Source organism: Homo sapiens, chromosome 3 (assembly GCF_000001405.40).
Source record: "Homo sapiens chromosome 3, GRCh38.p14 Primary Assembly".
NCBI classification, from domain to species: domain Eukaryota; kingdom Metazoa; phylum Chordata; class Mammalia; order Primates; family Hominidae; genus Homo; species Homo sapiens.
The window spans coordinates 185,743,164-185,758,655 of record NC_000003.12 but is presented as its reverse complement, the minus strand read 5'-3'; the positions used below and the strand labels follow the sequence as shown (position 1 = coordinate 185,758,655).

The 15,492-nt window shown below is 43.1% G+C and overlaps 1 protein-coding gene and 1 long non-coding RNA gene across 32 annotated transcripts in view, besides 4 other annotated features; one reads left to right on the top strand and one right to left on the bottom strand.

Moving 5' to 3' along the window:
- The window catches only part of IGF2BP2 (insulin like growth factor 2 mRNA binding protein 2), a 181,913-nt gene that overhangs the window by 66,387 nt on the left and 100,034 nt on the right, over positions 1-15,492 (top strand). The gene's annotated exons all lie outside the window — the stretch shown is intronic.
- Positions 2,291-15,380, bottom strand: LOC124906313 (uncharacterized). Its single transcript, XR_007096204.1, has 2 exons — positions 12,063-15,380; positions 2,291-2,814 (listed from the first exon to the last, which is right to left on the bottom strand). It is a non-coding gene; the product is annotated as an uncharacterized LOC124906313 (long non-coding RNA).
- Positions 3,364-4,067: an enhancer, noted in NCBI's record as "OCT4-NANOG hESC enhancer chr3:185472377-185473080 (GRCh37/hg19 assembly coordinates)". NCBI's record gives its function as "activates a minimal SCP1, AML or CMV promoter by ChIP-STARR-seq in primed H9 embryonic stem cells {active_cell/tissue: H9 hESC(primed)}" and the evidence as "EXISTENCE:reporter gene assay evidence [ECO:0000049][PMID:30033119]".
- Positions 3,364-4,115: a biological region, named in NCBI's record as "Sharpr-MPRA regulatory region 5696".
- Positions 3,821-4,115: a silencer, noted in NCBI's record as "tiled region #5696; HepG2 Repressive non-DNase unmatched - State 19:H4K20, and K562 Repressive DNase matched - State 14:Gen5'". NCBI's record gives its function as "represses a minimal TATA promoter and a strong SV40 promoter by Sharpr-MPRA in HepG2 and K562 cells {active_cell/tissue: HepG2 | K562}" and the evidence as "EXISTENCE:reporter gene assay evidence [ECO:0000049][PMID:27701403]".
- Positions 8,421-8,715: a silencer, noted in NCBI's record as "tiled region #9603; K562 Repressive non-DNase unmatched - State 15:Elon". NCBI's record gives its function as "represses a minimal TATA promoter and a strong SV40 promoter by Sharpr-MPRA in K562 cells {active_cell/tissue: K562}" and the evidence as "EXISTENCE:reporter gene assay evidence [ECO:0000049][PMID:27701403]".

Sequence of the window (15,492 nt, the reverse complement as noted above, 5' to 3'; positions counted from 1 at the left end):
GCCTTGAGATTGTCTTGCTGGATATGCAGCAGTGCTAACACAGTGCCCAACATTACAGATATCACTACTGCCTGTTTACCTTCTCCTTCAGCAATAGCAACAGCTTACCACTTACTGAACATCTACTCCGTGCCATGTACTTTACATGCATTATCTCATTTAATCCTCAAAGCAAACCCTGTGAGGTAGGTGGTCCTGTCCTTGTTTTACAGAGAAGGAAACCAAAGCTGAGCAAGATCAGACGTCTCTCCACATAACTAGTGCTAAATCCAGCAGTCAGACCCAGGTTTTCTTAGTTCCGAAGCCTGTGCTTTCTCTTGGGTGTTGTCTCTTCTTGGTGTTTGGTAAATATTTGCTTAATTGATATACACTTTGGATGCTTGACAGGCATTTTGCATACCTCCTAAGGCTATATGAGATGAGATGGTTATAAGTCTCTAAGGCATTAATTGAGTGGGACTCTTTGACAGTACCCATGTTTTGTTGCATGAACGTATGAAGGCAGAGACTGCCTATATCATCTCCTGTTGCCATTCAGAAGTACACCTTGTCCTGTTGTGATCAGAGTTTCACAAAGTGCTCTCAGTGCCTAAGGCAAACTGGCACATTCTCTATGAAAAAGACAATTATTGTTCTTGGTCAGGTGGCCAGTTGGCCCAGTTGATTTTGGAGCATAGTGTTAATAAAGGTTAGTCTCTTCAGATATGAGCCAGTTGACTTGGCTATATAAATAGCTGTTGTCACGGGCAGGTCAGAGGTATGTGTGTGGATAGACTGGATCTGTAACCACCAATCAGAAATCAATCAGCAATCATTTACTGAGCATTTGCTATGTGCCTGGCACTATACTAGGAGTGGAGCTTTGAAAGATTTTTTAAAAATACATGAGCTATAGGCTAGGTACAGTGGCTTATATCTGTAATCTCGGCACTTCGAGAGACCATGGGTGGATCATTTAAGGCTAGGAGTTTGAGACCAGCCTGGGCAACATGGCGAAACCCCATCTCTACAAAAAATACAAAAATTAGCCAGAAGTGGTGGCACACACCTGTAGTCCAGCTACTTGGGAGGATAAAGTGGGAAAAATCACCTGAACCCGGGAAGTCAGGGCTGCAGTGAGCCATGATCGTGCCACTGCACTCCAGGCTGGGTGACAGAGCAAAACTCTGTCTCAAAAAAAAAAAAAAAAAAAAAAAGTATGAGATATAGTCTCTCCAAGGGCTATACTTAATTGGTACAGATATGACTCATGGAGAAAGGAAAATATAAAAACAACAACCCTGTTTGTGTGGAGTTTTTTTCACCATTTTCTACTCAGCAACTAACTTGGTGCCTTGCACATCATAGGAAGTTAGTAGGTAAATACTTTTTGAATGAATGAGAATGCAGAGGCAAGTGCTTAGTAGCTTTTCTGATGGCTTTGTAGAAGAGGTTGGATTTGAGCTGAACACTCAGGTATAAATAGAATTCAAGGAAGAGGAGAAGAGTTGGAAGGTGATTCAAAGTGCAGGAAAAGGTTTCAAGGGTAATTTGGAAACACAAGTGTGCATAATGTGTCCCAGGAGTAGAAAAGACCACTTTTGCTAGGATAGAGATACGGCTAGAACCATGGAGTATCGTGAGTGTTGGAAGAACACATTAAGATTTTATTCTGTAGTCTCCTGAGTTTCTTTTATTTATTTATTTAGAGACAGGATCTCACTCTGTTGCCTAGACTGGAGTTCAGTGGTGTGATCATAGATTAGTAAACTTCAAACTCCTGGGCTCACCTTCCCACCTCAGTCTCTAGACTAGCTAAGACTACAGATGCTCACCACCATGCCTGGCTAATTTTTGTTTTAATTTTGTAGAGATGGAGTTTTGCTGTGTTTCCCAAACTGGTCTCAAACTCCTGGACTCAAGCAATCTTCCCACCTCAGCCTTCTAAAGTGTCGGATTACAGGCATGAGCCACCACGCCCGGCCACCTCCTGAGTTTCTGATCAGCAGAGAAAGATTATCAAAACACGTGGCCATAGATGGAATGGATTGATGTGTATGGGAGGCCAGTTAAGAGCTTATAGATATGTTTAGGTGTTGGGTAATAAGAGCCTGAACTAGGATATTGGTTGAGGAAGCCAAAAAAAAAGAGGCAGATGGGAGAAATATTGTGCAGAGAGAAGAAACATGATTTGTTGAGTTAGTGACTGGATATTGAAGCCTGGCAAAGGTAAGAGGAATAATCAAAGATCATTCAGTGATCCTGTGTTACTCTGTTTTTGTATTGCTATAAAAGAACACCCGAGACTGGGTAATTTATAAGGAAATGAGGTTTAATTGGCTCACGGTTCTGCAGGCCATACAGGAAGTGTGGTGCTAGCATCTGCCTGGCTTCTGGTGAGGCTTCAGGAAGCTTCCAATGATGGCAGAAGGTGAAGGGAGAGCAGGCGTGTCATATGGCAAGAGCATGAGCAAGAGTGAGAAGGGGGAGGTCCCAGACTCCCTTAAACAACCAGATCTTGCATAAACCATATGAGAACTCACTCTTCAGTAAGGGTATGGCACTAAGCCATTCATGAAGGATCCACCTCCATGATCTAGTACTTCCTACCAGGTTCCATTTCCAGCAATGAGGATCACATTTCAACATGAGATTTGGAGGGGCCATCATCCAAACCATGTCATTCTGTCTCTGGCCCCTCCAATCTCATGTCCTTCTCACATTGCAAAATACAATCATCCCTTCCCAATAGTCTCCAAAACGCTTGTTCTAGCATCAACTCAAAGTCCGAAATCTCATCTGAGACTCACAGCCGATTTCCTTCTGCCTCTGAACCTGTAAAATAAAAAACAAGTTATTTACTTCCAAGGTACAATGGTGGTACAGACATTGGGTAAACATTCCCATTCCAAAAGGGAGAAATTGCCCTAAAGGAAAGGGTAATAGGCCCCATGCAAGTCTGAAACCCAGTAGAGCAGGCATTAAATCTTACAGCTCCAATGTAATCCTTAACTCCATGTCCCACATCTTGATTTGAAAGGTGGACTCCCAAGGCCTTGGGCAGCCCTGCCCTCGTGGCTTCCCTGAGCACAGCCCACATGGCTGCTCTCTTAGGTTGGAGCTGAGTACCTGTAGCTTTTTCTTGCTGAGGGTGTAAGCTGCCAGTGGCTCTACCATTTTTAGGTCTGGAGGGCAGTGGCCCTCTTCCCACAGCTCCACTAGGCAGTACCCTGGTGGGGACTCTATGTGGGGGCTCCTATACAAGCTTTCCTGTACATCCTCTGAAATCTACGCAGGGGGTGCCAAGCCTCATTCATTCTTGCACTCTCTGTGCCTGTAAGCTTAACACCATGTGGAAGCTACCAAGGTTTATGGTATCTTGCACTCTCCAAAGCAGCCCGAGCTGTACCTGGGGCCCTGTGAACCGTGGCTGGAGCTGGAGCAGTGGAGATGGGGGTTGCAGCCTCCTGAGGTGGTGCAGGGCATTGGTGCCCCAGGCCTGGCCCACTAAACCGTTCTTTCCTCCTTAGGCCTCTGGGCCTGTGGTGGGAGGGGTAACCTGGAAGATTTCTGAAATGGCTTTGAGGCTTTTTTCCCCCATTGTCTTGGATGTTAGCACTTGGCTCCCTTTTAGTCATGCTAATCTCTGTAACAAGTGGCTGCTCCACAACCTACTTGGATTCTTTCTCTACCATAGGGCCTGGCTGCAAATTTTCCAAACTTTTATACTGTGCTTCCCTTTTAAATATAAGTTCCACTTTAAGTCATTTCTTTGTTCCCAATTCTGATTGTAGTTTGTTAGAAGCAGCCAGGCCACATCTTGATTGCTTTGCCGCTTAGAAATTTCTTCCACCAGATACCCTAAGTGTCATCACTCTTAAATTCAAACTTCCACGTATCCCTAGGACATGAACACAGTGCAGCTCAGTTCTTTGCTAAGATGTAATGCAGGTGACTTTTACTCCAGTTCCCATTAACTTCCTCATTTCCACCTGAGACCTCATCAGCCTGGACTTCACTGTCCATATCTCTATCAGCATTTTAGTCACAACCATTTAACCAGTCTTTAAGAAGTTCCAAACTCTCCCTCATCTTAATGTCTTCTTCTGAGCCTCCAAACTCTTCCATCCTCTGCCCATTACCCAGATCCACAGCCGCTTCCACGTCTTTCTTTATCTTTATAGCAGTGCCCCACTCTTCAGTACTAATTTTCTGTGTTAGTCTGTTTTTGCATTGCTATAAAGGCATACCGGAGACTGGGTAATTTATAAAGAAACGAAGTTTAATTGGCTCACAGTTTTGCAGTCTGTACAGAAATCGTGGTGCTTGCTTCTGCTTGGCTTCTGTTGAGGCCTGTGGAAGCTTCTAGTCATGGCAGAAGGTGAGGGGAAGCAGGCATGTCACATGGCAAGAATGGGAGCAAGAGAGAGATGGGGGAGGTCCCGTATTCTTATTTTATTTATTTTTTGAGACAGGGTCTTGCTCTGTCACCCAGGCTAGAGTGCAATGGCACAATCTCAGCTCACTGCAACCTTTGCCTCCTGGGCTCAAGCAATTCTCCTGCCTCAGCCTCCCAAGTAGCTGGGACTACAGCTACACACCACAACACCCAGCTAATGTTTGTATTTTTTTTTTTGTAGAGATGGGGTTTCAACATGTTGCCCAGGGTGGTCTCGAACTCCTGAGCTCAAGTGATCCATCTGTCTCAGCCTCCCAAAGTGCTGGGATTACAGGTGTGAGCCACTGCACCTGGCATCAGACTCTTTTAAACAACCAGATCTTGCATGCACTAACTGAGTGAGAACTCACTTATCACCAAGGGGATGGTGCCAAGCAATTTGTGAGGGATCCACCCCCATGATCCAATACCTCCCACCAGGCCCCACCTCCAACATTGGGAATCACATTTCAACATGAGCTTTGGAGGGGACACACATCCAAGCCATATCAGATCCTGAAATGCAGATCTTGGGAGAAGGATGCTGCTATTGTTTTATTAAATGTAAATGGAAATCAGAAGGGGGAGGTGGGTTTGAAGAGATTTTAAATTTGAGATACTGGGACATCAAGAGGAAATGTCTACTTAGCCGCAGGAAGTGATGGCTGTGGCCTGCTGGTCTCTTTGGATTGCGCAGTTGCCTTATCTTCGTGTGACACAGAGGCAGACTCGGCCACCCCAGGTATGACTTGTTTTGGGAAGTGATAAATAATATTTCACAGGGATATATGAGTTGATTTTTTCCCTGTATGTCATATATCATCTTTTCTGCATCTTTCCCTGTAACGTTGGTTCTCCCAAGATGAAAGACCACATGCTTTGAGGTGAGAAACGAGAAGCAGAAGACACAGACTTGGAGGGGCTGAGTAGAGGGGGCAGAAGGTTTCCTTACAGGCAGAGAGCACCCCGTTCCGCAAGTACAGTTCCCAGGAGTTATATCACCTCTAACACCAGAGAAAGCAGTGGAGGCCACAATTGTATGTGTTTCTAGAGGTGAATGCTTGGTATTGGAAAGGTAATTCTGACACTCACAGTAGTTGGTTTTATGAGAATCCTTTGAGAAGCACAGCGTAAAATGGAAAGATTTGAACTTGATCTCACACAAGGTCTTTGATTCTTTAACAATATTAACTAATTAAAATGTATCTTGTAAGGCTTAGATTTGTCTCCCCTACTACCACCCTCAGCCCCCTGCATTCTCTCTGTTGTGAATGAAAACATAGTAAATAATTTGTATGTCTTACTTCTCCCTCTTACTTATTTTTTTAAAAGTTTAAAATTGGGCTTGGCATGGTGGCTCATGCCTGTAATCCCAGAACTTTGGGAGGCTGAGGTGGGAGGATCACTTGAGGTTAGGAGTTCGAGACCAGCCTGGCCAACATGGTGAAACCCTGTCTCTACCCAAAATACAAAAATTAGCTGGGTGTGGTGGCACACACATGTAATACCAGCTACTCAGGAGGCTGAGGGCTGAGACAGGAGAATCGCTTGAACCCGGGAGGTGGAGGTTGCAGTGAGCCAAGATCATGCCACTGCACTCCAGCCTGGGTGACAGAGAGAGACACTGTCTCCAAAAAAAAAAAGTTTAAAATTATGCTCTTACTACCTTTAGGCCCTGGGGAATGTGTGTAAAGTGTACTCAGGTTGTATTTAATTTCATTGACAATTAAATTTCCCATTAAAACAAAATTAGGGGGAAATGTTTCAGCTGTATTGGAGTATAAAAGAGAATGGCTTTATGGACCACCTGCTACCTAATATTACAGTGTGAAGAAATGAAGAGAAATGCTTTTTAAGTAATTTAAATGTTTTTTTCTCTGATTAAGAAAGTCTGTTCACAAATTTATTAGGTAATAATTCCTCTAGCTTTATCATCCAATGATTCTACTCCTGCAATGGCCTGTTCCTGCACATGGCCTAGTGATGGAGTGTAGGGGTTGTAAATGGATGTGTCATTGTGCTGGACCCTAAGTAGACATAACATGTGCGAGAGAGGAAAGACTCCAAGGAGTTAAGGAAATTATTGTCCACCTATGCCATGAAACCCTTTGTAGCCACTAAAATTAATGTTGTAGAAGAATATATAAAGACTTGTACAATATACTAAGTGAAGAAGATTGCAGAAGAGTAATAAACAGTATGGTCCCATTTTCATAAATACCTACACAACTAATAGCATTCATCAGATTATTATTGTTATTATTATTATTATTTTTTGAGACAGAGTCTCCCTCGTTGCCCAGGCTGGAGTGCAGTGGCACGATCTCGGCTCACTGCAAACTCTGCCTTGCGGGTTCCTGCCATTCTCCTGCCTCAGCCTCTTGAGTAGCTGGGACTACAGGCGCCCACCACCACGCCCAGCTAATTTTTGTATTTGTAGTAGAGACGAGGTTTTACCATGTTGGCCAGGATGGTCTCAATCTCTTGACCTCGTGATCCGCCCGTCTCGGCCTCCCAAAGTGCTGGGATTACAGGTGTGAACCACTGTGCCTGTCCTCTTCATCAGATTATGTTTCTTTCTTTTCTTTTTTTTGAGATGGAGTTTCCCTCTTGTTGCTCAGGCTGGAGTGCGATGGCGTGATCTTGGCTTACCACAACCTCCGTCTCCTGCCTCAAGCAATTCTCCTGCCTCAGCAGGAGAATACTAGTAGCAATTCTCCTGCCTCAGCAGGAGAATTCTAGTAGCAATTCTCCTGCCTCAGCCTCCTGAGTACCTGGAATTACAGGCGTGCGCCACCATGCCTGGCTAATTTTTATGTTTTTAGTAGAGATGGGGTTTTACCATGTTGGTCAGGCTGGTCTCGAACTCCCGACCTCAGGTGATCTGCCTGCCTCGGCCTCCCAAAGTGCTGGGATTACAGGCATGAGCCACCACACCCGACCCCTTCATTAGATTATTAACAGTGGTTATCATTGGGTGATAGAATCACTAATATCTTAATTTTCTAATTTCTATATGTATGATTTTATAATGTTACTTGAAGCAATTTTTTGGCCGGAGGCAGTGGCGCAGTCTCCACTCACTGCAACCTCTGCCTCCTGGGTTCAAGTGGTTCTTGTGCCTTGGCCTCCCTAGTAGCTGGGAGTACAGGCACACCCCATCACGCCCAGCTAATATATTTTTAATAGAGACGAGGTTTCACTATGTTGGCCAGGCTGTTCTCAAACTCCTAACCTCAGGTGATCTGCCCACATTGGCCTCCCAGAGTGCTGGGATTACAGGTGTGAGCCACCACGCCCAGCCAGGAAGCAATTGTTTTAAAAGAAGAGAATGTGAGTGGACATAAATTTCAGAGGAAACACGTGTTCAAGTGGTGTGACGGTTTGCTTATCTTTGGCTGATTTATGATGGCTGGCACCTATCCTGGTTCTGAAAGACATTTTTGAACTTGAGTAAAAGTACACAGGTGAAGGGGCTATGACAGTATATGAGGGGGGTCTGGATTGGAGCAGAGACAGGGATACAGGAAGACAAAGAAATCCCAGAGGATTGCACGTAATCTTTTCCCAAGAGAAGCCTTTCTGTCTTGTCTTGACATCTTGTTGAGAAATCTTGGATAGGTAGGAGTTTGTGGAGGAAGAGTTCCTGGATTACAAGTGATCTACGTAGAGAACTGTAGAAGTCCTTAGCAAGGACCAGGCATGATAGCCTTGATGTTTACTGAGTTTTCTATGAATTCTGGCTGAGAGCTTTAGATACTCAGGTGTGTCTTACTCTAGAATTTGTACCTCTAGGGGATGGGACAAGTGTTATTCCAGGCGAGATGGTTCCTAGGCTAGGGGAGTTTCTCTCCTTTCTTTGGAAGGTGTCAATGTCTAGAGAGGTTTATAATTTATAGATTAAAGATCAACAGATAATAAATTCCCAGTGTCAAGGCAAAATGGGGCATTTCCTGAAGGATCCTTTCACAATGCGGCTTTCCAGTGCCTTGGAGGGGATGTTCCCCACAGAAAGGTAAGCATTCTCTGACCTTTGTTCACACTACATAATAGATAAGCCAGGACAGTGATTCTCAGTGTGGTCCTCTCACTGTCAATGGGGACCTTGTTAGAAATGCAAATTCTAAGGCCCCACCCCAGATTCACCCAGAAATACTGGAAGTGGTTCCTGCAACTTGCTTGTTAACAAGTCTTCCAGGGACTTCTTAAGTGTGCTAAAGTTCAAAACAACTGAGCTAGGAGATAGTCCTTACCTACAAAGAGCTTCTATTCTTGCAGTAAGTCCGCGTGGGTGATAAATGCCCAGATATCATTGTATTTTTGGTGTACTTTTAATTTTTGTTAAAGATGTGTGTTTGCCTGATTTTTCTCAGGCACAGGCTCATTTCTTTCTGGGCCAACCTAATTCATGCTCTTGGCTTGGTGTCAAGGACGTTTTTTAACACACTGCAACTTTGTTAATTGAAATAGTGCCTTTCAATGAGAGATCATATCCTGGCTAATTCCAAGTCTGATTGCAGGTCCTATTTAACTTTTTACACTGGGTAGTAAAACAAGTTTTTTCTCAAAATTACCCAGCGGAAGAAGTTATGTCCAGAAAAGAGAAGCTTATATTAGTGCTGCTGCACCTGGGAGGAAATGTCATGGGAGTTACCAGAGAGATTCAGGGATAGATTTGGGGATAGACTGACACAGTGTGAGGACTAGAGGCCAGTTCCTACTCAGAAGAGCAATTAGCTCATTCATGAATTGTTTATACTTCTTGTATCAACTTTAATTGCTTGTTTGAACTTGGACTTTAGCATTCATTATAATTGTTACTGTCTAATCAACAATTGATTGTGTATTTTAATTCCTCTAAGTGAGTTGAATCTTCAAGTGATGACCCCAACTTCTCAGTTTTTTTCTGCCTCTAGACATTTATCTTTAAGGCCAGGAGCCTGATAAATAAACTAGTAGACAATTATCCTTTACAACAGAGCCTTGACATGTATATGTGTAGGTTAAATTACTGTTCTCAGTAAAATCAAGCCAGAAAAGAGAGAATTTTTTTTTCTTTTTTTTCTTTTTTCTTTTAGACGGAGTCTCGCTTTTTCACCTAGGCTGGAATGCAATGGCGTGATCTCGGCTCACTGCAACCTCTGCCTCCCAGGTTCAAGCAATTCTCCTGCCTCAGCCTCCCAAGTAGCTGGGATTACAGGCATGTGCCAGCATGCCCAGCTAATTTTTGTATTTTTAGTAGAGATGGGATTTCACCATCTTGGCCAGGCTGGTCTTGAACTCCTGACCTCAAGTGATCAGCCTGCCTCGGCCTCCCAAAGTGGTGGAATTACAGGCATGAGCCACTGCGTCCAGCCAAGAAGTTCTTAGATTACTAAATTTAAGTAAAATGATTTTTACTTTAAAACAATTTTAATGGCTGATAAGGGGACCTTGTAGAATTTCTGAGGTTATCAATGGCATTGGAGTTCTTTGTGTCAGGAACTTGGGGAACAGATTTTGCAAAATGAGACTTACCAGGGTGACTTTTGAATGCTGTGGGGACAGCCAGATTTTCTGGGACAGGGTTGCCACCGTGCAGGCTGTTTGGGTAGGGTGAGATGGCAGTTGGTATATTCTAAATCAAGAGTCGAAGAATTCAGTCTATAATGATTGTTATATATTATGCCTTAGCAGTTTCTACTGCTGGTCTACAATTTGCTGGTTGGGAATTTTTAGAAGTACATTCTAAAACTTGGAGGAGAACTTCTATGTAACCTATTACTGGAGGGAAAGAAAATTGAAGTTTGAAAAGGTTGCTGTTTGACTTCCCACAATAGGAATAGCAGCAGGCTTTGTGGCATATTTTTCTATTTTCCAGTTGCTACTTCTGATATTAAGACACAGTAGTACTTGTTCACTGACACACTGAGTACAGGCAGGCAGTATATCGCATACCTAGTAGTGTATCCATTATGTAACCCCCCAGTTCCTTCCTCTACCTCTTTGCTCCTGTGAAGGTAGTCTAAATGGGAGCCCTTTAAAAAGTGATAGGTGGCCGGGCATGGTGGCTCACGCCTGTAATCCCAGCACTTTGGGAGGCTGAGGCGGGTGGATCACAAGGTCAGGAGATCGAGACCATCCTGGCTAACACGGTGAAATGGATCACAAGGTCAGGAGATTGAGACCATCCTGGCTAACACAGTGAAACCCTGTCTCTACTAAAAATACAAAAAAGTAGCTGGGCATGGTGGCAGGCGCCTGTAGTCGCAGCTACTCGGGAGGCTGAGGCAGGAGAATCGCTTGAACCTGGGAGGTGGAGGTTGCAGTGAGCCGAGATTGCACCACTGCACTCCAGCCGGGGCAACAGAGCGAGACTCCGTCTCAAAATAAAATAAAATAAAATAAAATTGGAGTAGAGTAGAGTAGAATAAAATAAAATAAAATATAAAATCGTGATAGGAAGGCACCTTTGATCACCATGTTTGGGACATTCTCAGTCTACTAAAGAAACCAAATAGTCATTGTTCATATATATATGAACAATATATATGGACTATTTTATTTATTTATTTATTTTTGAGACGGACTCTTGCTCTGTCGCCCAGGCTGGCGTGCAATGGTGTGATCTTAGCTCACTGCAACCTCCACCTCCCAGGTTCAAGTGATTCTTGTGCCTCGGCCTCTCAAGTAGCTGGGATTACAGGCAGGTGCCACCATGCTTGGCTAATTTTTATATTTTTAGTAGAGATGGGGTTTTACCATGTTGGTCAGGCTTGTCTCGAAGTTCTGACCTCAGGTGATCCACCCCTCTTGGCCTCCCAAAGTGTTGGGATTACAGGTGTGAGCCACTGCACCCAGTCTATATTTTTTAAAACCCGTAATAACAGACCATCTAGACCCTAAATACCAAAGACTTTAAAGTCCAGGGTTGGTGACAGTACCATAACATAAGGATAGTGAGAAAAAGTGATAAATCGTAGCGTTACCAGTTTTCAGAGCTTTAAAATATGTTAACATCTTAAAAATCTAAATTTCTTCATAGCAGTAAAACGGTAGCTATTTATAAATTGTTAAGTTAGAAGCTGAAAGTGGATAATTTAGGAAGAACAAAGATCCTAGAAAGTTAAAACATAGTAATTCCATTGATATGTAGATGGATAATTATCCTCAGCTCCTAGTGACTTGGAAATTGTTCGTTTTGGAGTTTTCTAGGTCTCTGGCTTATTTTTCTGTTTTGCCTGGTTTTTGCCTTTGTTTTTGATTTTGCCTCTTGTCCAATCACACTTCCAGAAGAAGGCAGGCCAGGAATGAAAAAGAGCCCACACTCAAAATTTAGCAGGGTCACATTTGCATACCTAGATCTTTACAGACCTACTTTTACAACTTTGCTTAAAGCAGCAAAGAGATCTTTTTCTGGTCCTGCTTCCAAACATAAGAGCATTTTCTCTTTTGCTATATAATAGCTCCGATAACTTCTACAGGAATCCCTAGCTCAAGAATCTACCATTTAAATGGAAGTTTAATAAAAGTTATAAATAGGTATCTTGGTTGCATAATATGATATATGTTTCCTGTTGGCTTTGTCCCCACTTTTGCTCCGCCCTCATATATAATCTTCCTCATAAAGGTACACAAAGCTTATAAGTTAAATGGTGTCTCCTACCTGTTAGTGAGAGCTGGCTTTTTTGATCCAGAAGCGAGAGACATTCAGTTTGGACCCGTGTTCCAGTGATAGAAAGGCCAGTCCTTCTGAATTAGGATGGTGGCCTCCACGGTTTTGCTCATAGGAAAATAATCGTTAAGTAGATCCGTCCCTGCTTTTACTGGGAGAACATGGAGTTGCTCACGTGAATTGCCCTGCCACTGGGAGCCCCTGCCCTTGAGAATGCTGCTGTTTGGAACCAGCTGCTTTTATGTCCATGGTCGCTGTGAGCAGTTAGGTGGTGTCTTGGCTTTAGTGGCGCTGGGACATCACTTCCTATCACTTTGATTGCCCTCCGCCCACTCAAGGTGCCCCCAAGTCAAATTTGTCAAGCCAGGCAGACTGTATAACAGGCTTATTTTTAAAATCAGGGATTAGAATTGAATTTGTATATATGTGTTGGGGAGATTTTCCAGTAAACAGTAACTAAACATTTTTGTTTCTTTTCAGTAGCTTTTGGAATTACTATCTCTGGGGTCCTTATAATAAGGTAGATTCTCTTAAGTCTGGTCTGGTTTACTTGTGGTTTTATCTGAAGAAAGGTTGTCTTCCCAAACCTAGGTTCTTGGCTACTTCAGTTAGCAAGGAGTGTGAAAAAGTGGACATGACCTTGCCAAGAAGAAAACTTTCAGACCACCCACCAAACCAGAGGAAGGTTAGGACTTTTTTTTTTTTTCTTATGTACAACCTTCCCACAGCTCATTATTTTTATTGCCACCCAGTGGCATTCACAATACGAAATGGTGCGAGTGATATTTCAACCTGTTGGGCAGCAGCTATGCTGTGCACTGTGACCAGAGCTGTTTGTTTGGCCAGCTACTGCAGGCGCTCATTGCAGCAGCCAGTGTTTTGTTTGTGAGTGTCTTCTCTATGGTTTCCTGCTTCAGTGAATAGAAGTGGGAGTTGTGGGGGCTGAGGGAAGAGGACAGACAGAAGACGGTTGGACTCATTTCCTGAATCATCTTAGGCATTCTTGCCGTCTCTTGGTTCCATCTTGGCTGGGCAGCATTTCCCACTGGTTTGTCAGACCAACTTTCCCAGCCACCTCTGGGGGTGGGAAGGAAAACCACACCTTGCTCTGTGTCAGCCAGTTAACAGGCAGAGTTTTGTTCAGTAAATATTTATAAAACCTCTCTACTAACCTCGAACCCTGCAACTCTGTACTTTTGAAAAGTTTATTCTCTTTCCCTGGCCTCCCAAGTAACTATTTGGGCCCAGCAGTATACCTCACACGGACAGCACTGGTACCCCTTCATCTGCAGGCCAGGTACCAGAGAAGCTTGTGCTTCCTGATCTTAACCTTGAACTTGGTCGACCATTCCTCTATTTAGGATTGCAGAGAGTTCATGGGAAAGGGTCAGGGGTAGATTGTCTTTCACAGTTTTTCCCTTTAATCTGTCAAGTTAAACCCGTGTGATCAGAGGAAGTGCAAAGCAGCGTGTGGAGGGGAATGAGGCCTCCAAGTGCAGGGAGGCATGTCTCCTCCTGGCTCTGCCGCACACCAGCAGCAAGGGCATGCCTCCACACGATGTTACTTTCTGTGAAATAGAAATAAAGGCCCTCTGGTCCTTTCGGAAATAAATTTAGAAACAACCTAAACATCGAACAGTTGGGAATTGGTTAAAAAAACTAGGTTTATCTTTATTAAGCAGTGTTGAATTTTTAATGCCGTATGAAAACATGATATGCTGAGTTTAAGAAAAAGATACAAAATGTGGAAAATGTGATTCCAATTTTTTCTTTTTTTTGAAAGAGTCTCACTCTGTCTCCCCGCCTGGAGTGCAATGGCACAGTCTCAGCTCACTGCAACTTCCACTTCCAGGGTTCAAGCTATTCTTGTGCCTCAGCCTCCCAAGTAGCTGAGATTACAGGCGCCGGCCACCACGCCCAGCTAATTTTTGTATTTTTTAGTAGAGATGGGGTTTCACCATGTTGGCCAGGCTAGTCTCAAACTCCTGGCCTCAAGTGATCCACCCGCCTTGGCCTCCTACAGTACTGGGATTACAGGTGTGAGCCATGGCACCTGGCTGATAATTCCAATTTTATAAAAACTAAGAAAGGAAGGTGTCAAATTAATAGTAGTTTCCTCTGATGGGATTATGGGAGATTTTAAACCTCCTTTTCTGATTTCCTACAATGAACATTTATACCTTTTGTTCTTTTTTTTTGCAGACTATATCATACACAAAAGTACACAAAACACATATATACAGTTTAATGAATGAGTATAAAGTGAATACCCATGTAGCTACTACCCAGATCAATCACATAAAAGCAGCATTACTTTTTATCACTGGAATACTAACAATAAAAATTTTATTGAAAAATACTTTTCCTGAGTTCCTCACTTGGCTATGGTAGGAATAAAATAAGACTGTATAGGAAAGTGCTTTATTTTTCAAACCTTAAAATTTCCATCAAACATTAGAAGTTATCTCTCGTCTCTCAGGTGCCAAAGATGACAGGTGCACATAAGCAGTAAGTCATTGCCAGAGTCTGGGGCTGCTTGTGTCATACAGAGATTTGCACTAAAAAATGTATCAATTGTGCCACTTGCACTATCTGCAGTTTTTCCCTCCCAGGAAACCCTTTAGGTGTAGACTTAGACACTGGGAGAACTGCTAGGACTGACTGGGTGTTAAAAACCTCTTTCCTACATTTTGTGCGGATTACCTTTGATTTTCTATGATCCCTGGATTGTTGCGTGTGGTGGAAGGAGGTTGTGTTAATTCGTTGATTTCACCAAAGCCAGAATTCCAAGCAGGAGTTTTTGTTTGCTTTGTTATTGAATTATCTAGTCTTTTACATCGTGATTTGAGGTTTGGTTCAAAAGAGGCAATGGATTGGTCATAATTTAATAATTTTATCTGATACTATAACTAAAGCCAGCTGTTTAATTTGCTGGACCAAGTGCAGAATGAAAATGTGGGGTCCCTTGTTCAAAAAACAGGAAAAGTATCATTAAATAATTAAAATATAGGCCAGACGTGGTGGCTCACACCTGTAATCCCAACACTTTGGAAGGCCAAGGTGGGAGGATCACCTGAGGTCAGGAGTTTGAGACCAGCCTGGCCAATATGGTGAAACCCCATTTCTACTAAAAATACAAAAATTAGCCAGGCGTGGTGACACGCACCTGTAATCCCAGCTGGTCTGGAGGCTGAAACAGGAGAACCACTTGAACCTGGAAGATGGAGGTTGCAGTGAGCCAAAATCGTGTTACTGCACTCCAGCCTGGGCAACAGAGCAAGACTCTGTCTCAAAAAATAAACAAAAATAAAAAAATTAAAATATAAAGTTTTCCTTTCTTCCATCGTCTCTCTCCTGACTTGTCATGGTGTGTTTTATTTGTTACTTAAAGTCACTCTAAGTAAAAAAAAAAATGTAATTA